The sequence below is a fragment of the Homo sapiens genome, chromosome 16, assembly GCF_000001405.40.
Source record: "Homo sapiens chromosome 16, GRCh38.p14 Primary Assembly".
Classification (NCBI taxonomy): Eukaryota; Metazoa; Chordata; class Mammalia; order Primates; family Hominidae; genus Homo; species Homo sapiens.
Window position 1 is genome coordinate 87201211 of NC_000016.10, and position 26794 is coordinate 87228004.

At 47.3% G+C, this 26794-nt stretch overlaps 1 long non-coding RNA gene across 1 annotated transcript; it reads left to right on the top strand.

Moving 5' to 3' along the window:
- The first annotated feature begins 10904 nt into the window (after nucleotides 1–10904).
- Nucleotides 10905–25220, top strand: LOC101928708 (uncharacterized). Its single transcript, NR_110939.1, has 3 exons — nucleotides 10905–11002; nucleotides 11676–11955; nucleotides 24145–25220. It is a non-coding gene; the product is annotated as an uncharacterized LOC101928708 (long non-coding RNA).
- The last annotated feature ends 1574 nt before the right edge of the window (nucleotides 25221–26794 follow it).

The following is a 26794-nucleotide window of genomic DNA, read 5'->3' on the forward strand; positions in this document are numbered from 1 at the left end:
GCAGCAGTGTCCAGCTGGACCTGAGCTCTCCGATTCCAAAGCCTGTACATTTTTCAGGAGCCTCATGAGGCTGAGCCACGTCACACTGGCAGCCCACACTCTGGAATGAGTCAGTCCCCAGGGAGCAGAACAGCATCCGTCTTAACTGTTTGTGGAGGTGAGGCCAGATGAATTTCTCATGCTACTTTTTTTTTTCTTTTTCTTTTTTCACTCTCTTTTTTTTTTTTTTTGAGACAAAGTCTTGCTCTGTTGCCATCTCGGCTCACTGCAACCTCTGCCTCCTGGGTTGCAATGATTCTTCTGTCTCAGCCTCCCAAGTAGCTGGGATTACAGGCTCATGTCACCACATCCAACTAATTTTTGTTTTTTTGGTATAGATGCGGTTTCACCATGTTGGCCAGGCTGGTCTCAAACTCCTGACCTCATGATCCACCCGTCTCGGCCTCCCAAAGTGCTGGGATTATAGGCGTGAGCCACCGGTCCCGGCTCTCATGCTACTTTTAAAAGCTCCTGGCCCCTCAAAACCCATCAGAACCACCCTACCACCCACCTCTGACCTCCAAGCTCCTGCCCCTGCCTGTGTTCTGTTCCCTCACACCCTGTTGCTGGCACTGCCATACCCCTAGTGACTTTTATTCTCCAAGCACACTCAGTTTCATGTAAAACCATGGATTGTAACAGGCACTCCACTCTGTGTTTTATCCTCGCTTCCTTCTTTGGGGAAACTGCCCCTCCCAGCTCCAGCCTTGGGGCACCCACACACCTCAGCACATGATTGGCCCAAAGGGTAGGCATGTGATCTAGGCCAGTCCAATGAGAGTCAGCCCTGGGATTTTCCATCATAGAACAGGACAGACATTCTCTGTCCCTTCCTTGTTTTTACGCAGTAAGTTGGTTAAGATTTTCCTGGATTTTTTTGTATGCTGAGTAATTTTGATTTGTATCCTGGAATTTGGGAGAAATATGAGGAAAATGCTGCAAGGATGAGAGCTCAGAGTGTTCCCTGGCCATAGGCACCCCACCTTATGAAGAAAGCCTCAATGCAACGGAGGGAACAGAATGACAATTCAGAGAGAGGTGGACACCTGTGATGGAGGGGGGAGATGAGGACATGACAGCATTTGCGTTTCCAGATTTAGACTTCCCTGGAACCAGCCATTCCTACGTTTTCCCCGGTTCAGTTAAGTGAGTAAATTAACATTGTTTTACTTAAGCTTTGAATTTAGCAGGCTTCCACCTGCAGCCATAACTGTCCCAACTAAAACAGTGAAGAAGCCATCAGAAGGGCCTGGGATGGAGGATGAGGTGGAGTCAACACTCTCCACCCTCTTCTCCACCGAATGCAGCTGGGATGTCCGACAAGAATGCATGGAGCAGCTGTGTGAGGACTCTGAACTGTAGACCCAGCAGGCAGACTAGAAAAAAAAATTCAGTTTCACTGAACTAGAGCTGAGTCTCCCATTATTTCCCCCAGTATCCCCAGCCTAGACTCAAAGTGACCTCAAAATGAACACAGGTGCCAGGGTCAGAGAAAGAGCGCTTCAGGAGAGGGAAGGGGGACAATGAGGCAAATCTCAGTTTTCTTTTTATTTTCTTCTGTTCTGTTGCACCCCAGTTCTCCAACAATTCCGTGGCTTTACTAATGACAGTGACTACTGCATGGCCCATGGGCTCCTGAAACTCAGAGTGGGCAGAACCTTCCTCTCTGATAAGAAAAATCTGTGTTTCCACGAGATCAGAGTGGACCCCAGGTGTGTGTTCTCTCTCTCTCTCTCTCTCTCTCCCCCTCCCCCTCCCCCTCCCCCTCCCCCCCCCCCTCTCTCTCTCTCTCTCTCTCTCTCTCTCTCTCTCTCTGCTCCCACCTCCTAGTCCCGGACTTGGCCACAGTTATGAGAAGTATGTGGCAAAACAGAATAACTGACAGCTCAGCTTTCTGACTGCACAACCCCAAAAGGAAGCCCCAGGGAGCCTGAAAAATGCCAGGGAGATTGCAGAGAGGGCAGAGATCAGGAAAGAGACAGTTTAAAGTTGTTCATGAATCCTGGGCTCACCCTTAAACTGCACAGGCACGCATTTGACCCTACACAGCAGACCCAAGACATTGAGAACGGAACTCGAGGATAAACCGTCGCCAGGCCCAGGCCTGGCCACTGGGTGGCGCACGCACAGGACAGCTCTGAAGAGCACTGCCCTGCTTTGACGACTGAGTGGCCACTGGGAGCACAGCTCGCAGAGGCTGCTCGGAACCTGTTGCCTGAATCCAACCACCTTGATTGACCACTGAAACCAAACTATCAGCATCCTCCATGGCATTTAAACAAGACCTAGAGCCTCCTAATATAGGATGCAAAATTCCAGGATACAGACCAAAATTACTCAGCATATGAAAATACAGGAAAATCTTAACTTGTACAAGTAAAGATAAGGAACAAATCCCAACAGCAAGATGACACCAGTGTTACAATGATCAGAAAAAGCCAGGCATGGTGGCTCCCGCCTGTAATCCCAGCACTTTGGGAGGCCGAGGTGGGCAGATCACTTGAGGTCAGGAGTATGAGACCAGCCTGGCCAATATGGTGAAACTCTGTCTCTACTAGAAATACAAAAATTAGACAGACATGGTGGCAGGCACCTGTAATCCCAGCTACTCGGGAGGCTGAGGCAGAAGAATAGTTTGAACCCAGGAAGCGGAGGTTGCAGTGAGCCGAGATCACACCACTGCACTCCAGCCTGGGCAACAGAGTGAGACTACGTCTCGAAAAAACAAAAATAAAAATAAAATAATAAAATAATAATAATAATAATAATAATAATAAGGAAGTATCAGAAAAGTCTTCGAAGCAGTTATTATAGAAATACTCCAAGAAGCAAGAGCAAACACTGGTAAAGCAAATGGAAAGATAGAAAGTGTAAGTAAAGAAAGAGAAGATATACAGAAAAACCAAACTGAACTGTTAGAACTAAACAATATGATAATCAAAATTTTAAAAGTCACCAGATGGGCTCAATAACAAAATCAAGATAACAGAGCAATGAGTCATTAAATGTGAGGATAAATTAATAGAAATCGTCCAACCTGAATAACAAAGGGAAAAAGAAGCAAAATTTTAAAACCAGAAAAAAAACAAATGAACAGAGACTGAAGCACCTGTACCAGACGCCTGACGTCCACATCACAGGAATTCTAGATGGAGAAAAAAGAGAATGCAGGGTAGAAAAACATCAGAGGAAAGAAATGTCTCGAATTTGTCAAAAAGCAAAACCTCCAAATTCAAAAAGTTCAGTGAATCCCATAAAAGGGTATACTCAAAGAAACCCATGCCTAGACACATCAGAGTCAAAATGCTGAAAGCAAAGACCAAGAAACAATCCTGAAAGCAGCCAAAGAAAAACAATGTAACAGGAAAATAATGAAGCAAAAATTGATAGGACCAAAAGAAGAAACAGACAAATGATCAATTATAGTTGGAGACTTCAATCTTATTCTCTAGGTAATTCAGAGAACAAATAGGAAGTCAGCAAAGATAAAAATGAACAGAATGGCCCCATCAAGCAACTGGATGTCATTTACATTTACACCACACCAACAACAGCAAAAAAGGAAGAAAAAGAAAAACCTTCTCTTTGAGTACACATAGAACATTCACAAAGGCTGGGCATGGTAGCCCACACCTGTAATTCCAATACTTTTTTTCTTTTGAGACAAAGGCGATAAGGTCTTGTTCTGTCACTCAGGCTGGAGTGCAGTGGCGCAATCTCGGCTCACTGCAGCCTCGACCTCTGGGCTGAAGCAATCATCCTGCCTCAGCCTCCCAAGTAGCTGGGACTACAAGCACACACCAACACATTTGGCTAGTTTTTAAATGTTTTGTAGAGATAGGGGCCTCAGGATTACAGGTGTGAATTACCACACCCAGCCTAATCTCAGTACTTTAGGAGGCCAAGGCAGGAGGATCACTTGAGGCCAGGAGTTTGAGACCAGCCTGGGCAATATAGTGAGATCCTGTCTCTACAAAAAATTTAAAAGTTAGCCAGGTGTGGTAGTGCTTGCTTGTGGTCCCAGCTACTCAGGGGGCTGAAGCAGGAGGGTAGCTTAAGCCCAGGAGATTGAGGCTGCAGTGAGCTATGATCGCACCACTGCACTCCAGCCTGGGCAACAGAGCAAGACCTTATCTCTAAAAAACAAACAAACAAACAAACAAAATTACAAAGCTGTTTTTCTAGTTCATAACACAAAACCTCAACTAATTAAAAAAAATTAAAGTAATTTAAGAGAATTACAGTTGTAATAATACAAAGTATGGTCTCTGATAATAATGAAATTAAAACAGAAGTCAGTTACAGAAAAATAACAAAAAAATTTCCAAAACCTTGGAAACTAAACAAAACACTTCTAAATTATTCATGGGTCAAACAGAAACTCTGGAGGGAAGTTAGAAAATATTTTTAATTGAATGAGGGTGAAACTACAAGATATAAAATTTGTGGAATTCAGCTAAAGCAAGTGCTGGCAGACAAATTTATATCATCAAATGCTTACATTAGAAAAGAAGAAAGGACTTAGCCTGATCATCTGAGCTTCCACCTTCAGAAATTATAAATAGCAGAAATTATAAATAGCAGAGCAAAATCAGCCAGTCGAGCCAAAGGAAATCAATAAGAAAAGCAGAAACCGATGAGATTGAAAAGAGAAAAATAATAGAGAAAAATCAATGAAACAAAAAGCTGACTCAAAATAATTAATAAAATTCTAGCAAGAGTGGCAAGGAAAAATAGAAGCATATATTATCAGTATTAGAAATTCAAGAAAGTATTCAATGAGACCCTCAGACACTAAAGGGGTAATAAGGGAATACTACTGTGCTAGTCCATTCTTGCATTGCTATGAAAGAAATATGTGAGACTGGGTAATTTATAAAGAAAAGAAGTTTAGGCCAGGTGCAGTGGCTCACACCTGTAATCCCAACACTTTGGGAGGCTGAGACGGGAGGACTGCCTGAGCTCAAGAGTTCAAGACCAGCCTGGCCAACACGGTGAAACCCCGTCTCTATTAAAAATACAAAAATTAGCCAGGCATGGTGGCGGGCACCTGTAGTCCCAGCTACTCAGGAGGCTGAGGCAGGAGAATCACTTGAGCCCGGGAAGCGGAGGTTGCAGTGAGCCGAGCTTGCACCGCTGCACTCTAGCCTGGGTGACAGAGCAAGACTCTGACTCAAAAAAAAAAAAAAAAAAAAAAAAAGTTGCCCAGGAAGGAGGTGGGGGGGAGAGTGAGAGAGAAGACAAAAGGGCACCAGGACACTTTGGAGGTGATGGCATGTTCACTGTCTGAACGGCTGTGATGGCTTCATAGGTGACTACATATGTCAAAGCACCAAACTGTATGATCTAAATATGTGCAGTTCATTATATGTCCATTATATGCAAAGACGTTTTTAAAAACTCAACAGGAAGAAAAATAACCCAATTCAAAATGGACAAGAGACTTTAACAGCTGCTTCATCAAGGAAGATACATGGATGATGAGTAAGAACATAAGAAGTCTCCCTCATTAGACGTCAGGGAATTGCAAATTAAGACCATGATGACACCCCATCGCACACTCACTAAAACAGTTAAAACGAAAAATGCAACAATGCCAAGTGCCAGTGAAGAAAGGAAGAAACAGGAACAGTCATATGCTGCTCACAGTGTAAAATGGTGCAGCCACATTAGAAAAGTTTGGCAGTTTTTTTTAAAGTTAAATATATACCTACCATAGGACCCGGCAATCTCGCTCCGAGGTATTTACCCAAGAGAAATAAAGACAAATGTTCACACACAAACCTGCACACAAATGTTTGTAGCAGCTTTATTCGAAATCACCCCACACTGGAAGGAACCCAAATGTCCTTCAACTGGTGAATGGATAAACAGAATGTCGTACGTCCAAACAATGAAATATTACTCAGAAAGAGAAGAAGGATGAATCAGTGTGAATTACACACAATGACCTGGCTGGATCAGAGGCCTTACGCTGAGTGGAAGAAGTGAGGCTCAAAAGGTTCCATACCCTTAGGGTTCCATTCATAAGGCATTCTGGAAGAGACAAAATTCTTGTGATGAAGAACTGATTAGTGGGCGCCAAGAGTGAGTGATGAGGGGAGGGTGGAACTTCACAGGGATGGCCCGAGGGAGTTTTTGGAGTGATGAAACCGCTTTGCGTCCTGACTGTGATGAGGGCTGCACAAATCTACACATGTGTTAACATGTACAACAAAAAGAAAGTCAATGTTCCTGTCATTTTTAAAACAAACAAAACAAAGTAAGCAGAAGAGAGTGATTAGCATCACAGCTCCCCGGCCCCCCGGCCCTCACCTTAAACCCAGTGCTGATGAACAGAAATGTCCCCCAAACCATGGGAGTCAGGCCCAGCAGATTGTAAAATGACTCTGCTGCACTGGCTGATGTCTGGGGAAAGGGGAGAGCTCCTCCCCTTGCAAACTGGAGAAAATTCGCATATTGGCTGGAAGTTGCATAACTATAATTCTCTTGCTCAGACAATTGGATCCTGAACCTCCAAATGAGGTAATAATTATACAGCCTGAGGAATCTGAACAGCATGGAGGAGAAACGCCAGCAAAAGCCAGCAGAGGAGAAGTTCTAACGGGACTGGGAAACGTGAGCCTGACCAGAGGTCTTGCGGCTGCTTTGTTTCTGAAGACTGCAAGTTCTCGGCCAGGGCACTGTTGAACCCTGCGGTGGTGGGGGTAGGGGTGGATGTCTGCTGCAAAGGGCAGACATTATAGATAAAATTCCACATTGTTTCTACCAGGCACCTCTGCCATCACCAGATGGTTCTTGACCCTGCAGAGCTGCCACACTCGTGGCAGGACAGTTTGCCCTCCTGGGCTCAGGGCCTAGATGCAGCAGCTCCTCCAGTCACTATGACAACCAAAACCATCCTGTGCATTTCCAAACAGCCCTTGGGTGGTACCACCCCCAATTAGTGACTGCTCAAGAGGTCAGGAAAAGAGAGTGACGCTTAAGTCAGAAGCAACTGCTTCCTCCACCCTGATGTGGAAGGGCGTCACCAAAGTCCTGGGGGACACTGTGAATGTACTAAATCCACCAAATTGAGTGCTTTAAAATGGCTAATTTTGTACACTTATATGAATGTCGCCTCAATTTTTAAAATACCTCCTCAGCAATTACATTTAGGAAACACCAACAAGGACAGAGAAAGACACAAACCAGGGGTCCCATCCTGCATGCTAGAAGGATGCATAAGCCCTGCAGGAACTTACATCCCCCAGCAAAAAGAGAAGGAGAAAGGGTGCAGAAAAAAAACTGACCCCCACCCAAAAAAGACACAGAATTTTCAACCAGATATGACTGAAGTCCTTGGAACAGAAAGATTTGGTCTCACAGCTCTGAGTGAAAATGGAACCTCAAGAGTTCAGTTTAATTATTTACCATTAAGGAAAAACACATTTGTGCACACCTGACTTAGAAACTGTGAGTCAAGGTGAAAGGCTCAGAGCAGATTGAATTTTGTTATAGGGATATAAAGAAATGTGACATTTTTTGTCAGTTAGAATGGTGATCATTAAAAAGTCAGGAAACAACAGATGCTGGAGAGGATGTGGAGAAATAGGAACGCTTTTACACTGTTGGTGGGAGTGTAAATTAGTTCAACCATTGTGGAAGACAGTGTGGTGATTCCTCAAGGATCTAGAACTAGAAATACCATTTGACCCAGCAATCCCATTACTGGGTATATACCCAAAGGATTATAAATCCATAAAGACATATGCACACGTATGTTTATTGCAGCACTGTTCACAATAGCAAAGACTTGGAACCAACCCAAATGCCCATCAGTGATAGACTGGATAAAGAAAATGTGGCACTTATATACCATGGACTACTATGCAGCCATAAAAAAGGATGAGTTCATGTCCTTTGCAGGGACATGGATGAAGCTGGAAATCATCATTCTCAGCAAACTAACACAAGAACAGAAAAGGAAGCACTGCATGTTCTCACTCATAAGTGGGAGCTGAACAATGAGAACACATGGACATCGCGGGGCAGGACTCATCACACACCGGGGCCTGTCGGGGGGTTGGGGCTTGGGGGAGGGATAGCATTAGGAGAAATACCTAATGTAGGTGATGGGTTTATGGGTGCAGCAAACCACCGTGGCACATGTCTGCCTATGTAACAAACCTGCACATTCTGCACATGTACCCCAGAACTGAAAGTATAATAAAATAAAATAAGATAAAATAAAATAAAATAAAATAAAGAAATTGTGAGTCAATATCTGTACTGCAAGCCTGGTTTCATTTCCATTGTATGAACAAGTCTTGGGAAAGCTAAACCACTTGTCCAGGAGTTACAGTTAATACCTCATACATGAACCTGGGCAACCTAATCCCAGAGCCCCAGCTCATACTCACTCCTTCTACCACCTCCCAGGTGAAGAGAGTTCACCTGAGCAAAGGAGCAGAGAATTAAAATACATGTATGTTTGCAGAAATATGCAAAACTTGCATCATGGAGATGATGATAGTGATTATGGTGATGGTGGTGACAGTGATGATGGTGATGATGATGACGGTATGATCATGGTGATGGTGATGATGGTGGTGATGGTGATGACAATGGTGATGATGGTGATGGTGATGACGGTGGTGTCACTGATGGTGATGATGGTGGTGATGATAGTGATGGTGATGATGATGGTGGTGATGGTGATGGTGCTGATGGTGGTGATGATAGTGATGGTGATGATGGTGGTAATGGTGATGGCAATGGTGATGGTGGTGATGGTGATGGTAATGATGGTGGCATCAGTAATGGTGGTGATGATAGTGATGGTGATGATAATGGTGATGATGGTGATGATGATGGTGATAATAGTGATGATGGTAATGGTGATGATGGTGATGATGGTGGCCATGTTAATGATGGTGATGATGGTAATGGTGGTGATGGTGGTCATGTTAATGATGGTGATGATGGTAATGGTGGTGATTGTGATAATGGTGATGCTGATGGTGGTGATGATGCTGGTGATGATGGTGATGGTGATAATGGTGATGGTGATAATGGTGATGGTGATGGTGATGATGATGATGGTGATGATGGTGATGGTGATAATGGTGGTGATGGTGATTATGATGGTGATGGTGATGGTGGTGATGGTGATGATAATGGTGATGATGGTGATGATGGTGGTGATGTTAGTGATGGTGATGTGGATGATGGTGATGGTGGTGGTGGTGGTGATGGTGATAATGGTGGTGATGGTGATGATGATGGTGCTGATGGTGATGGTGGTGATGGCAATGATGGTGACTATTTCGGTCTTCTCAGGCTGTCACAACAAAATACCATAGACAGGGTGGCTTAAAAAACAGAAATTTATTTCTCACAGTTCTTGAGGCTGGGAAGTTCAAGATCACAGTGCCAACATGGTTAGGTTCTGGTGAAGGCTATCTTCCTGACTTGTAGATGGCTACATCTCCCTGTGTCTTCACATGGCGAGGAGAAAGAAAAAGAGAGAGGGAGAGAGAAGGAGAGGCGGGGGGGAGGGAGGTGCAGAGAGAGAGAGAGAGAGAGACAGCACACGTACACTCTAGTGTTTCTTCCTATACTGACATTAAACCCATCATAGAGGCTCCACCCTCATGACCTCATCTAAACTTAATTACCTGTCAAAGGCCCCATCTCCAAATGCCATCACGTTGGACGTTAGGGCTTCAACATGCAAATTTGGGGTGGGGGCACATTCAGTCCATAATAGTGATGATGATGATGATGATGATGATGATTATAGAGACGGTGACAATATGCATGGGACAGGGTGGCCTTAATGATTTATTCAGGAAAAGTATTAAAAATGCTTTGTACAATTCTTGGCACTAAGCCCTCAGTGAATGCCAGCTATGATGACTGTTGTTTTCGCAATAAGATTCTGGTTTTAAATCTGACTAAGCAATTTCATGTATATTTATAAGCATCTCTCAATATGTGACCTGTATTAACTGAGACCCTTTAGTTTGTAAATAGCTGATTTATGCCAATTGGGGAAATTAACTGCTTCTCTTAACTAGAAGGTCTAGCTTCCATTAACATAGACTAAGAGGCTCAAACAATGTCTCCAAATCTTGGTCTCTCTCTGTCCCTTGATGGTTTTCTCTGAGCCAGTGTTGTTTTAAGTAGGCTCTCCCTGGGGGTGGTAAGGAGCTTCTGGCATCCTCAAGTTCAAATCCTCACAGTTCAGCAATCCCAGGACAAAGAGAATTTCTCTTTCTTGGGGCTACAGCAAAAGATTCCTCAAGGGCTCTCAGTCGAGTCATTTGGGATAAATAACATCTCTGGACCAATCGCAATGGTCAGAAAGGGTGGAGTATTCTGGAACTCCTGGCCTCAAGGGATCTTCCAGCCTTAGCTTCCTAAAATGCTAGGATTACAGGTGTGAGCCACCGCACCCAGCCTAGGATGGAGTGATCTCATGGCTGATACTGGGTCACATGCCCACCCCAAACCAGGTTGACTGGAAGTGGAGGGAACATGATTCTTTGAAGGGAAACTCAGGTGCTAGTAACAGGAGAGATGAGTGCTGAGAGAGCACAATCAACAGCTGAGCACTGCATGTTCATGGCTTGGACAAGCCTGCTCAATAGGGAAAACATCTATTTACCTGTCGACTGTTTGCCATACACCAAGCAAGGGTGTTGTGCTCTTCAGCCTATCCCCTGCAGAAGACCCAAGTAGAACTGAAGAAACTGGGCTTCTTACCCAGCCGCTAAGAGAGAGGCTTGGGCCACCACGGCCTTGGATGAGAGAAGACATCCCCTTCCTTGGTTCTTCCATTACAGCAATGAAGTCACAATGAAGGGGAGGAACTGCCCAGTTGGGCAGCGCGATGGGAAGGAGCCCACCCACGACTGTGGATGTTTAACCAAAGCCTTCCTGTAGGAAAGCAGGAAAGACTGGGTGGCCTGAGGGCAAGGTATGCTGGGTGGGTCTCCTTACTCAGAAAGGCCAGCGCCAGCAAACCACCGGGTCAAAGTTTGTCCCCTGAGAGCCCTTGGTTTGAGTTCATTCTTCTGAAGTGATATCATGAGGCATCTTTCTTCTGGAGGAGGAAAGAAAGTATTTCCCCCAGGAATGCACAATCAAAAGGTTGTTTCTGAGATTAGGCAGATCATAGGAGCTGCAGAATTGAAAGGGGAGTGTGAATGAATGTGTGTGAGTGTGTTGTAGAAGAAGAAAGAATTAAGTGTGGACTTTTAGCATGAAATACTGTTCTTGACATCAGTTTCATTAATTTACATAGTGGATAAATTGTATGCTTACTCAGTAATCCATAGACTCAGCACATTGGATTATTAATCTACCTTACTTTGAGTGTATTTGTGAGAATGTGTATGTATGTGAGTGTGAGAGAGTGTGTGTGTATGTATGTGTGTGTGATATTATATGAGTAGGGAGAGGGAGAGTGTAGGGAGACTTCAGGTCATCCTAGAAACGAATCCTCTAAAACTAATTATGGTAACAGCTAGTATTCATTGAGCATGTCCTATGCGCTAGGCACTGAGTGAGTGCTCTCCAGATCTTGTCTCCTTTGATCTCAGGGCAGCCAAATGAAGTGAGGGATGGACTATTGTTGTTATTTATTTCAGACGACAGTACTGCTGCTCAGAAAAGGTGACCAAAGTGGCCAACATTGCAACCTGGACCTGGGACTCAAACCCAAATCTGTCTGATTCCTAAACTGCAATCTTCCCACCAGATTCTGCGGCCTCCCACTACCTGAAAAATGGTTTTTCTCTGTCTCCTCACCTAGGAATGGAAATATCACTGAAACTAAAGAAAACGACCCTCCAGTCCAGTGGGTGCAAACTGGGGACTTCAGCTGGATTCACCCCTCAGGTGGCTTCTGTTTGGCCACCACCTTGTTTGGTAAGAATTTGGATTTAATTATCCTCGGGCAGCTTGTCATAGTCTCAGCATTCCACATTTCCATGTACCCCCAAATTCCAATCAGGTATGTTATCTGCCTGGCTACGAAAGGTGTTAGAGTTCATGACCAAATGCTAGTCCTAATTGTCAGGTGGCTCTTTGTAAAAGTGAACTGCCTTCCTTGATATAGCTCTACTTTCTGTACATAGATGTTGTCTTTCCCATTATGATGAGGATCATGGTGGTGGTGGTGATAGTGTGACAATGGCAAAACGATGATGATTTTGGTGATGGTGGTGAAAATGATCATGATTATGATGATAGTAGGGTTGGTGATGATGATGGTGACATTAATGATGGTGAGGAGAAGAAGGATGGGGGAATGGTGATGGTAAGGAGGATGATGGTGATAATGGTGACAGTGATGATGGTAAATGATGATAAGGATGGGCTCCAGTGGTGCAGTTGGTTCTGCACGCAGTACTTATTTGATGATAAGGATGGTAGCAATAACAGTAAGGATTATGGTAAAGATGGTGATAATGATGGCGAGGATGTCAGTGATGGTGATGGTGATGATGATGGTGAAGGTGATGATGGCGATAGTGAAAATGATGACGGTGCTGATGGTGATGTGGTGATGATAGTGATGGTGAGGTGATGATGATGGTGATGGTGCTAATAAGGATTATTGTGGTGATGGTGATGTTGTGTCGGGGCTTAATCACGGAAGTGGAAGCACTGAGAAATATAGAACAAGGGACTTGTTATAGGTACTCAATGTCACTCATTCATGGGAGCTGGTTAAACTCCCAAGACTTCCATGGAAGGCTGTGGGCTGTGGCTGGTGCTGGGCCTGAAGTCAGCAGGGCAGACAGTCGAGAGGATGGATGTGAAATGAGGGAGAGCAGAGACAAGTTGGCCCCACATCTGCTTCTCACAGCCTCCCATTTTGCTGATCCAGGTCTCCCACATGAAAAGCTGGTGCCTTTCATCACGAAGCTGCTCTCACCCCATTCCTAGATTCTGAAACCTGAAGTGGGAAATCCAGGTTGCTGGAGAAGCCACAAACCACACCAGCCAGGTGTGCCACCCCACACCAGCCAGGTGAGAGAGAAGATCGGTGACAATGTGTGTAAGCTGCAACAACACTTTCCCTGTAGCCACCTTTGGGGCATAAAGAAGGGTCTCCTGTAGCCCCCACTGACCTGGATCCACAGACACAAAAATCTGGGAAATGTAGTTCCAGCTGGAGTAACAGTGATGGCAACAGAAATAACAATAACGAAAGACATGCATTTAGGATCTATACCAAGCGCCTCCCATGTATCATTTCATTTAACTCCAGTTTCATCCACATAGCTCTGATGGGCTTGTGCGGTTTTCAACTCCATTTTACAAAGCAGTGGTTAAGTGACTTGCCCCGGTTCCCTCAGCTGGAGAATGTCTGAGCTGGGATTCCGCCCTGCACACATCTCCACTGTGTAACCTGAAGCTACCAGCATATGCTCATCACGTCTAGCCCAAAGCAAAGACAACTCTTGGTTATGGCTTTATGTCAGTATAAAGACGGGTTTTGGAATTTTAAAACAATTCATGGGCCCTTCTTTATCACCTTCACAGAGCTCTCAAGGTCCTAGGGTACAGTATGGGATGTGTTGATCTGAATAAAATTGTTCAGCCATGAAGGTGTACCACCGAGGTCCTCAGCTGCAGGGAATGTGGTCAGTTAGCCGTCTGCCCCTTTTGGGGGCCTGTGCCAGCTTCAGAGAGCCACTTAGCCCAAGCCACACCCTTCCTGGGGCAGTCACATCTCATGTCTAAAAGGCAGGAGTGTAAGCGCCTTGGCATTTCGTCCAAGGCAGATGCTCTGATGGACAGATAGTCCTTGCTCCAGGCATCCCACCAGACTGGCCAGCGTTCTATCAGATTACGTCAAAGTCTGACTTCTCCCTCTGCCCAATCCTGTTTGTTCTGCCTTCCTTTCACGGGTATTGATCCAAAGAAAAACTTGTACCCCAAACTGTCTTAGAATCGATTCCCAGAGAGCCCAACCTGTGACAGATACGGTGAAGAATTTTGTCCTTTTTCCCCTCAGTTATACAGTCTCAAGGTGGGTGGATCATGGGTACATTTGTTAGACATCCTCCCATACCCACCTCTGATACCCTCAGTTCTCTGAGTCAGGGCTGTGGGTTGACGATGGAGACGGAAAGGAAGAAGGAAGAAAGGAGGGAAGGAAAGAGGGAAAAAAAAGAGGAGGGAAGAGGAAGGGAGAGAGGGAAAAAAAAGGGAAGAAGCCAGCACCTTCCCAGACCCCACAGTTCCCTCCTGACTGAACACACTACAGGCAATCAGTGTATCACTCCTTTTCCCAACTGAAAAGAAAAATGTCTTAAAGACCAGAAGAAGATCAGGAACACGGAGGTCTTTAATGCTGAGCCTGGCACCCAGGCCCTGTGTGGCAGCAGCAGCTGCTCTTGCCCCATCGTGATTGATTTTCTAGGCTTATTTCCATTGTTTGATGAAAGCACGTCAGGCCATAACTCTTACGTGTACACAACCTCACTCTTCAACCCATACCTTTCTGCAGGTGTTAGGAGAGAGCTCAACCTCCGTCTTAGGGCCTGACTTCTGGTTTGCGGCTGGGTCAACAAATCCCACTTTGCTTGGTAACAAGGAGACCTGCATCCCTCCCACCGGGTTCATCTTTCCATTGACAGTTCAGCAGAAAAGGCCTTTGGGTTTGACAGCCACCCTCTGAGCTCTCCGCAGCAGGAGGAAAACGTCAGAGAGCCCTTGAGGCCCTGTTTCCTCACCAGAAGGAAGGTGGCTGACACAGCCATGATCACCCCCAATCTGGAGGCTCAGACTAGAGTGGCCCCAAATCCTTGGGGACAAGGCCAGAAAGTGGATGTGGCCACACAGACAGGTAAGGGTCACCTGGGAGGTGAGGTGCGGTCTCGAAGGTGCTGCGCCACACACCCAAATTCCAAGGACAGAGACATCCACATGGATGTCCCACAGATAATCAGGAGGCCTCATGCCCTCTCCCCGGGCAGGGGTGACAGCTCCTCCGACTTGCCTCTCAGCTCACAGAAGTTGAAATCTACCAAGGACATGCATGGCACACGGGCGTGTACACACACTCGTCTGACTCACACCTCATCCTCCCTTTCGCTTCAGCTGGGGAAGGAGGTGGAAAGGTGACGTTCAAGACTGGAGGGTAATTTGCCCAAGAATGCAGCGAGCAAACATCTTAAAACACCACGGAGAGCCTCTGAAAACTGATTAGAACCATTTGTGTGGCCAACAAGAATGAGGGCCGCCGAGAACTGGAAGCCGGGGACAATATCTGCTCTGTTCTGGCGCATAGCAGATGCCAGCGCGGCTTCTGACTTTATAGCTTTTTCTTGGCCTGTGCGGATGAAGGAGGCTGATTGAAACCGGGCCGGCGCTGGATGGGGAACAGCCTCCCCGAATGTGGCACAGGACCTTGCAGCCAGGCTGTCCTCCTCGCCGACTCTGGCTCCGCTGGCCACGCACGACAGGCGGGCGGATCTCTCACTCTCTCGGGCTCGACGACGGGACCCCAGGCCAGGCTGAGAAGCAGAGCCTCGCGGCATCTGTCAGCCCCCAGGGAGCTCACACGGGCCCCAGAAACGGGAGAAAGACACGTGGGTCTCCCACAGCCCCTCCCGCAGCGGGGCTTTGGGAGGGGCCGTCCAGGCCGGGGCTGAGCTGCGCACACTCGCTGTGTGGTCTGCCCTGAGCCCCAGACTTTTCGCCCGTCCACTTCACCGGCGGTGACTCAGGCTTGGGTAAGAAAACACCCGGTTTCCCAGCAGACTGGGACCGAGAGTCCCGGAACCCAGGCGCGGTGTCCCTGGTGCCCACTGAGGGGCTGGCATTTAAGGCGCCTGCCGGCCCCTCGTCCTTTCCTGGGGCCTTTCGGAGAATCCGCGCAGCGCCCGCTTCCCTGCCAGGGGGTGAGGCCCACGGGAGGAAGCTGGAATGCGGACTGGAAAATGAAAATGCCCTGTTAATGAGCAGCCAGCAAAGACGGGAAACGCCAGAGTTTCCAGGAAGGGGCTTTGGAGAGCGGGCGCTCGGGCCCTGGGCCTCAGTGGCCGTGTGCAGAAAATGAGGGCCGATCCCGGTGGCTGGGGCCGGCCCAGGCCACCCAAGGTGTGAGTGGCACAGCTGAGCTCGGACCCCTGACCCCAATTCAGGGCTCCTTCCGCTAGGGCGAGCCCACCACCCGCGCAGAGCCCCTGACAGCTTCCCCAAGCCAGGCGGCCGCCCTAGGGAGGTTGCTCTGCTCCCCTAAGGGGAGGGCTCCAGGCAGGCACCATCTCACCTGCGTTTCACTCAACCACCTGAGGCGGAGCTGACCCTCCAGCATGGATCCCACCGCAGACCAGAGCACAGATCTGATCCCAACACGGACCTGACCCCCAGCACGGACCTGACCCCTAGCACGGACCTGACCCCCAGCACGGACCTGACCCCCAACACGGACCTGATACCCAACACGGACCTGACCCCCAACACGGACCTGACCCCCAGCACGGACCTGACCCCCAACACGGACCTGATCCCCAACACGGACCTGACCCCCAACACGGACCTGACCCCCAGCACGGACCTGACCCCCAGGTGTGGACCTAACCCCCAGCACGGACCTGACCCCCAGCACGGACCTGACCCCAGGGCGCGGACCTGACCCCCAGCGCAGACCTGACCCCCAGCACGGACCTGACCCCCAGCACGGACCTGACCCCCAGGTGTGGACCTAACCCCCAGGTGTGGACCTGACCCCCAGGTGTGGACCTAACCCCCAGCATGGACCTGACCCCAGGGCGCGGACCTGACCCCCAGCACGGACCTGACCCCCAGCACGGACCTGACCCCAGGGCGCGGACCTGACCCCCAGCACGTACCTGATCCCCGAGCTCGGACCTGACCCCCAGCACGGACCTGACCGCCAGCACGGACCTGACCCCAGGGCACGGACCTGACCCCCAGCACGGACCTGACCCCCAGCACGGACCTGACCCCAGGGCGCGGACCTGACCCCCAGCATGGACCTCACCCCCAGCACAGACCTGACCCTCAGCACGGACCTGACCCCCAGCATGGACCTGACCCCAGGGCGCGGACCTGACCCCCAGCACGGACCTGATCCCCGAGCTCGGACCTGACCCCCAGCACGGACCTGACCCCAGGGCGTGGACCTGACCCCCAGCACGGACCTGACCCCCAGCACGGACCTGATCCCCGAGCTTGGACCTGACCCCCAGCACGGACCTGACCCCCAGCACGGACCTGACCCCAGGGCGCAGACCTGACCCCCAGGACAGACCTGACCCCCAGCACGGACCTGACCCCCAGGTGTGGACCTAACCCCCAGCACGCACCTGACGCCAGGGCGCGGACCTGACCCCCAGCACGGATCTGACCCCCAGCACAGACCTGACCCCCAGCACGGACCTGACCCCCAGCACAGACCTGACCCCAGGGCGCGGACCTGACCCCCAGCACGGATCTGACACCCAGCACAGACCTGACCCCCAGCACGGACCTGACCCCCAGCACGGACCTGACCCCAGGGTGCAGACCTGACCCCCCAGCAAGAGTCTGACCCCAGGTCACAGACCTGCCCCACCCCCGGGCGCAGACCTGACCCCCAAGCGGATCTGACCCCCAGCACAGACCTGACCCCCGAGCTCGGACCTGACCCCAAGCTTAGATGTGACCTGAGCTCGGATCTGACCCCGTCAGAGTGCAGATCTGACACCCAGTAGGGATCTGACTCCTGAGCACGTCCAATTAAGGCTCTGAAAGATGTGTGGCCCCTTCCTTCCTCCCACAGTGCGTCACGTGTTGTGTTTCATGCTCAAGGAAGGGTGTGTATGTGTGTCCGTGTGAGAGAGACAGAGGTAAAGTATGTGTGAGAGCGTGCATGAATGTGTGTATGAGAGTGTGAGAGTGAGGGTGTGAAATTGAGAATCAATGTGTGTGTGAAAGTGTGACAGGGAGTGTGCAAGCGTATGAGCGTGACTCTGGACGAATGCATGCATGCAGACATGTTTAGAGGCTGAATGTGTTTTGAGTGTGTGTGAGTGCATATGTATGTGAGAATATGTGAGTGCATATGAGTGCATATGTGTGTTTGTGTGACTGCATGTGTGTGTGTGAATGTGAGATTGTGCTGTGTGAATGTGAGTTTGTGCATGTGTGTGTGAATTCGTGTGAGTGCATGTGTGTGTATGTGTGAAGACTGCATAAGTGTGAGTGCATGTGTGTGAATTTGTGTGCACGTGTGTGAGTGTATGAGTGCATGTGTGTATGTGTAAATGTGAGTATATGTGTACGTGAAGAATGCATAAATGTGTGTGAGTGCAGGTGTGTGTGTATGTGTGAAGACTGCGTAAGTGTGAGTCAGTGCATGTGTGTGTGAGAGGGTGAGTGTGTGAGAGCGTGTGTGTGTGATATTTACTGAGCCCCACACCCACTCCTGTCCCAGACGGCCACACGCCCCTGTGCTGGGCACTAACAATACAGAGGCCACCAGGTTGTAACTCCCACCCCAAAGAAGCGACGATCCAGCCGAGGACGCTGAACGCACCTCTAGAATGCAGTGCAATAGGGCACAGACCCATAGTTCCTCGAGGACCGGGACAGAATGTCCTCTCCCTCCCGAAGCTCAGTGCTGAGCACATGACTGATGCTAACATGCATGGTTGGTGGTTGGTGGCTTGTTGTTGGTGGCTGGTTGTTGATGAGCTGATTGGTTGGTTGGGTAGTTGGTTGGGTGGGTGGATCATTGTTCATTAGTTGGTTGGTTACTGATGTTAGTTGGCTGGCAGAGAACAAAAACCAGATAAGCCAGCATGGTACCCTAAACAGAACATGGACTTTGGGGTCACAGAACATGAATCCCACTCCTAACTCTGCCTTTTCCAAGCTCTGTGGTCATGAGAAAGCCCCTTCACACTGACATTTCCATGCCATAGGTTCCTCATCTGTAAAATAGGGATAATGGTAGCTACTTTGCAGTTAACACACATACAGTGACTAGGACATTAAGGGCACTCAGTGAATGGCAGACACTGTCACTATTATTCAACATGGAAATGAAGGATTAGATTCTGGAGTGTGTAAGACATCTTTCCTGCAACCCCCAACGTGACATCACTCGAGATTCTGCACACCGTCTCCACGTAGGCCCATGAGAAAAAAATACGAGTCACAACCATTGCATAATATGAGCCAGCCTATAACTTACAAAGTGCACAGAACTCTTGAAGGAATTTCAAAGCCCATGGAGCTCAAAGCCCCCTTCCTCTGGCCATTTGGGATTAATGACTAGCCCGAAACACACATATCTCATAGAGAGAAGGTTCGCCAAAAGTCACCAGCACATGACTTAGAAGCCTCCAAAACACTTTGCAGTTTGCAAAGCACTTTCACATATATTATGTCATGTGGCCCTCAGTGTACTCCTGAAAGGTAGACAGGACTCAATTAGTCTCCCCATTTACAGATGAGGAAACTGAGGCTCAGAGAAGCAAAGTTACTCAAATAAGTCACACAGCGGAGTACAAGATACAAGCTGTCTTTCCAATACTGAGATACATGGTCAATGTCTTAAAGCACAAATGGGCTGGGCATGGTGGCTCATGGGTGGGCATGGTGGCCCAGCATTTTGGGAGGCCGAGGTGGGAGGATCTCTTGAGCCCAGGAGTTCAAGACCAGCCCTGGTAACACAGCAAGACCCCATCGCTACAAAGAGAAAAAAAAAATTAGTCAGGCATAGTGATGAGTACCTGTTATCCCAGCTACTTGGGAAGCTGAGATGGGAGGATCACCTAAGCCTGGGAGGTCGAGGCTGCAGTGAGCCATGACTGCACCATTGCACTCCTGCCTAGGTGACACAGTGAGACTCTGTCTCAAAAAAACAAACAAATAAAACAAAAAAACCCCTAACAATCTGGAAATTGTTCAGATCAACAAAAAAGCACTAAAGGATACTTGGAGGTGTGGCAAAGTAGGAATTCCATTATAAAGTAATAAAAACTAAATTCCTAGTTCAACTCATAGAAAAACAGTAAACTCCAGATACATTAAATAACTAAATATGAAAGGCAAAAAAATTAAAAATGTGGAGGAAAACACAGGAAATAGCTTTATAAATTTTGAGAAAGATTTCTTAAACAAGAGGTAAAGACAATATCATAAAGGAAAAAATAATACATTTGGAGATTGAGGGTTATGAGGCTGAGTCCCAATAAAGGACTCAATAGTGGCATTTCAGCAGTAAGCAGAGAAAACATCCAGGAGTGGCTGAATTCCTTCACATCTTCCTAGAATGCAATAATATATTCTGTCAAAGTCTTCAGCCTATCAAGAAACACTTATTATCACCAACATCATAACCATCATCATAACCATTACCATAATATATCTTCACCATCATCATCACCATTGTCACCATCATCATCACCATCACTACCACCACCATCATTATCCACCGTCATCCATCATCATCACCACCATCACCATCACCACCACCACCACCATCGCCATCACCACCACCATCATCATCCATTATCACCCTCACCATCATCATCACCACCATCACCACCACCACAACCATCATCATCCATTATCATCACCCTCGCCATCATTATCACCATCCATTATCATCATCATCATCACCACCATCATCATCCATCATCATCATCATAATCACCACCATCACCATCACCACCATCACCATCACTACCACCACCATTATCCACCATCATCCATCATCATCACCACCATCACCATCACCACCACCACCTCATCACCATCACTACCACCACCATTACCATCACCACCACCACCATCACCATCACCACAACCACCATCACCACCACCACCATCACCATTACCACCACCATCACCACCACCACCACCATCATCACCACCACCACCATCACCATCACCACCACCATCACCATCACCATCACCACCACCACCACCACCACCATCACCACCACCACCACCATCACCATCACCACCACGACCATCATTATCACCACCACCACTACCACCACCATTACCACCACCATGACCATCATCATCACCACCACTACCACCACCATCATCACCATCACCACCACCATCACCACCACCACCATCATCACCATCACCACCACCATCACCACCACCACCATCATCATCACCACCACCATCATCACCATCACCACCACCACCATCACCACCACCACCACCATCATCACCACCACCATCACCATCACCACCACCACCATCGTGATCCATTATCATCACCCTCACCATCATCACTGCCATCATCACCACCTCCACCACCACAACCATCATCACCACCATTATCATCATCACCATCATCATCACCATTATCATCACCCTCACCATCATTATCACTATCAGCATCATATTTCTAGAAATAGTAGCAACTAACATGTACTGAGCACTTACCATGCACATTTAATCTTATGCACTTTGTCTACATTCACTTATTTATTTCTTACAAAAACCCTCATAGGCATAGGTAGAATCACTGTTCCCATTTGGTAGATGAGAAGCTGAGGCCCACAGAGGTTATAAGATCTACCTCTGGTACCACCGCTGGAAAATCGCGGGTTTGACACCAGGACTGGTGCACACCCACACCCTCTGTCCTCTTTAGGTGCTGGCTTATGCCTGTCATGCTGAGTTATCTGCCAAATGACTTCAGATCTGCCACCTTAAAGTCCACCCTCTTCACATGTGGGCCCAAATACATTCATCTATACATTTCACAAAAGTTCGTTAAGACCTACTAGATCCTAGGGGTTGTTCAAGACCCCAGAGACCTGGAGTTTGATTTCACATGGCTCATTTAATTGCGTTCTGATGGCAAATACCAGGGGAAACTTCTTTTAAGTTTAGAAATGCAAATATGTATTCAATATTTTCTAAGAGGTCCATCATATAAGCATCAATGTGAGGACATTGAGCCTAATGGAAAGTGAAAGATCCATGCTGGAGAAGGTGGGAGTACATAAACCCCATCCCCACCCCAGGTTTGCTGGAGAAAACTGTTTTTGCAGGTGGAAAATGACTGCATTTCAATCAGGATCAAATTCCAAGGGCTTTGCCAGTGCCCACAAGTGCCCACATGGTGTAGAGCTCTGGCTTGGCCAACTTCCTACTCAATAACCTATTTCTACAGGTCTTTGGATATTAAAAAATATATAATACAAGATAAACTCAGCAGAAACCCAAATGAATGGATTCGTTCCCATTTTAATGTCGTTTGAGGGTGTTTTATAGCCTGCACTGTGTATCTTTCACACATCTATTTTTAAATACTGCAAACTTAATGACCACGATAAAATATATAAAACCCTTTATGAAATTCCATCTACAAAATTACAGCAAAAGCTAGGAGGTAAAAATGTGCAGTCGTTGCCGTTAGACACTGATGGAGGGAGCCTGAAATGTACTAAGTCAGTCCTGTTTTGAACAAGCTGCATGAGTTAATATCTCGGTCTTCTTCCTTATGGTTGCCCCAGTTGTAAACCCATCTTCTTCATGAAATGCAGGAACTTACAAATGATCAGATACCATTGAGTGAAAGTCAATCCACAAAAATTCCAAGGACCGGCTCATGCTCTTAAAACCACACTTCTGTAAGAAAGCCCTTAGGCTACCTTTAAAAAAACCAGCTAACACCTAATGCAAGCCAGGTACTGTTCTAACTGATTTATATACAGTAACTCATTTAAGACTCAGCACAGATCTGTTAGGCGGGTGCTGTCATTGTCATTCAATGTCAGATGTGGCCACTGAGGCCCAGAGAGGTTAAGCAAGTTGCCCAAAGACACACAGCAATAGGTGGCAGAGCCAGACTTTGAACCCCAGCCAACTATCTCTGCACTCTGCTGTTAACCATTATGCTCTCCTGCCTCTTGGGAATGCCTCTGTTATAATAGCAAGGCTGTACTGGACTGTAGGGACTTTGTTACCAGACACAGAGACAACATTATGGCCCCAGTTTCCCCATTAGAATACAATTCCCTCCCTCCCGATGAAGCAGGCAGTGATTCCATCCAATAATTGTGCTACAACCAGCCCATAGAGAACTTTGGTGTGAATTCAAGAAAGATTTTCCTTCTTCAATCTGTCAGAAAAATGGCCACAACATACTTTTTGTTGGAACAGGTCATTTGACTACCATCTGCCAGAAAAGTGTCATAATAAGCATTTCTATCTATATCTGTGATGAGAATGGAGCCCTTGAGGTTGTGCAGTGCGCAACCTGAATAATTATACATAATGGCCCTACCTTCCATCCTCAGCCAAGTCAAAACACATGCAGTTTGGACAGTGTCTGTGCAAAACTAGATGACAAAATGACAGTTGAGCAAGGGGCTAAGAGTGTGGTCCCTGGAGTCACACCTCCTATAGTCACTGTCAGGATTCAGCAGGGTAACACAATTCAGTGTTTCTAGAAAGTGCTCGGCAAATGTCAGTTATTGCTCTCATCAGTCCATTCAAACACCCTCTTCCTCTTTCTCCCCCTCAGTGCCACCAGGCAGCATTAGAGAGGATGGACATATTAGAGAGGCTGGACATTTCTTTCCCAGGGGAGGGGGAGGATGTCTCAACCCAGCTCATCAGTTCCTAAAAGACCCTGCTCTCCGCAGAGGTTCCCATTCAAGTTTTCTTACTCATTTTATTAAAACTTCATTCAAATGTCACATCCCCTCTGCCCATTCAGGGGAATGCTGGGTTACTGGTGCATAAGATGACTTGACATCTGCACTTTGTAACTTTTACACATGTATTTTTAAATACTGCAAACATAATGACCATGATAGAATATATAAAACCCTTTATGAAACCCTTTGACATTTTCCTCCCTATATACAGTTGGGCATATACATGATCCCACTGATCTTCCAGGCAACCCGCTGTCCTAGGTGCTCTTGTGCCCACTGCACAGATAAGAAATCTGAGGCTCAGACTGGTAAGAAGCCTTGCCCAAAGTCACACATCCTTTAAGAAGCAGAGCTGATAATTCCAACTCTGATGTGTCTGAACTTCACAGCAATCGTTCCTAACCAAAGTGGGTAATTTAGCCAAAATAAAACCATTTTGTAAACTTCATAGGTAAAGCTGACAGCAGCCAAGTCATAGTCCCTGAAACATGCAGCAGATGAAGACAGCGGCCCTCGTTGGACAAAAACCACATCTGCTTCCCTTTAAAAGAAATGACAAACAGAATAGCTGCTCACCATTCACAGCAACAGAGTCTAGAACTTAAGATGCTCCAAGCATCTTAACACCTTCTCAACTCAACGCACCAACGGAAGGGTCACCATGTATAAAGAAAAATGTGTTCTTCCATTTAATGTTTTCCCTTTCAGTAGGACCCCATCACCCTTTTTTAAGTAACAGCTTTATTAAGATATAATCTACACCATGCTAGGCATGTTTGTGGCTATTATCTCATTTAATCCATATCATCATTCCATTGCACTAATTTGAAAACCAAAGCTCAGAGAAGTAAACGTTCTCAGAGCCACACAGTTGCTCCATGGTAGAGGCAGGATTTGAACCTGGATCGCCCCAAGTCCAATCCCAAAGATACTTCCACTACTCCATGTTTCTCGTGCAGTAGATGGCAGCTGCCCTTTATCATTTTATTATGGTATGTTTTAGAGACAGCAAGGGCCTGTACTTTTGTTTGGCTTACAGAAACTCAAATGCATGCAATGTATCACTTCACCCATGCATATCCCTGGGTTGAAAATATGCCCACATCTATGGAACACCTAAGAACAAGCATTACACAAATAAACCGTTTCCCTAAATTTCCCTGTGATTCTTGGAGCTACTGAGACAACACTCCAATATTTCTGTAATTTTTAAGCCCACAAAGGAAAGTTAGTGTATAACAAAGGCCTTGGTGGCTTTCAGCTGCATCCTAAGCCTCCTCTCGTTAAATTTCTTAATAGACTGGCCTCATATCAGAGCCCAGGAGGAGATGGTCCACCTAGGAATAAGGGTTCTAATAGTTAACTCTGAAACTGGAAGCAAGCCAGTGACAAGGAGTTGAAACTAAAGAACACAGGAGACCTCCGTAAACGTCCTTCCAGCATAGACCTGAGGTTCTGAGCAACTGTGGGTAACGCACAAACCATTATTAAAACCAATAAAATACCATTATTTTACAAAAAATTAAATTCAATGCCTTGAAGCCAATTATTTATTCTATAATAAATTAAAGCTAATAACATACTATTAAAACCAAAAAAATCCTTACCTTTGGTGTAATGACAAGGACAGGTAGAATACGGTCTAGAGAGACCATCCCAAGGGACAAGGTCATGGAAGGAACCTTGAACACAGCAAAAGTGGAATCCAGAGACGACAAAAAAGGTCTCCACTTAAGTTTGATGGATTAAAAGTGGAGAACTGTGTTAAGAAGGACTCTGAGGCTAGGCCGGGCGCGGTGGCTCATGCCTGTAATCCCAGCACTTTGGGAGGCCGAGGCGGGCGGATCACGAGGTCAGGAGATCGAGACCATGCTGGCTAACACGGTGAAATACTAAAAATACAAAAAAAAATTAGTCGGGCATGGCGGCAGGTGCTTGTAGTCCCAGCTACTCGGGAGGCTGAGGCAGGAGAATGGCGTGAAACCAGGAGACGGAGCTGACAGTGAGCCGAGATTGCACCACTGCACTCCAGCCTGGGCAACACAGCAAGACACTGTCTAAATAAATAAATAAATAAATAAATAAATAAATAAATAAAAGAAGGACTCTGAGGCTAAATCTAAGGTCAGTGGGACAAAGTTCTGAGATCAATCAGCCATGCCTGCTGTGGTTAAAGGTTGGGGAACTTGGATTATACAGATGAGGTCAACTCTCCCACAAGAACAGCATATGATCATCCCCCCCCAGAACTGTGAGGTTATTTTCCTTATAAAAATCTCCAAAAAATGAGACCTTCAGTAACATATTCCAGGCATTAGCCATTCCCAACAGGAAATGTTCTCTAAACAGGTTTAGTTCTTGTGGACTTTCCAAGAAAAGTCCAAATTCCATCCTTCCCAACTCCAGACCTGGGACCCTAATGGAACAGGCGGTTTCCATTCTCTCAGGCCTCCGACAATTTCCAAACAGGACACAAAGATGAGCAGTCTTTAAAGAATGTTTCACGTTCATACAAAAAGGCAGACTTTCCCATCTGCCTGGAGGTTGCTTTTGGGCCACAGCCATGGGAATCGCAGAGTGCATTTGGACATTCCGATGAGCTGCCCTGACAGACCGGCTTCGCCCCAGTGAGGGAGGAGTGCCAGAGTCGCTTTGCAGAGGCCGCAGCCCCCCCAGTAGCTCTGCTCCCCTCTCGGCCACCCCCAGGGCCTCCTGCTCTGCCTGGAGGTGGTGCGGCCTGAAAGGCCCACATCTGCTGCCCTGGCCCCGGAGATGTGTGTTCCCCACTGCCAAGGCCTGTGGTGCCAGCCCCACGTTGCAAGCCGGATTGTGGTGGTCTGCCTGTGTTTGTTGAAATTGGGCTGGGAGAAAGGGCCTCGCCGTCAAGATTCCCTGGAATGTGCACCCGAGTGCTAAGGAGACGGCTCAGTCAGCAAGCTCAGGAAATGGGGCCGAAGGCTGGGCCGGGGCCCAGATCTGGGCCATCGCGCAGGCTGCCTGGAACAGGCCGTCAGGGAGGGAGAGCCAAGGGACCGCCAGGACAGAGGTTGTTTTTGTGTTGATATCGTCCTACTCTCAGTTTGCAGCTTGGGGCTTTCATT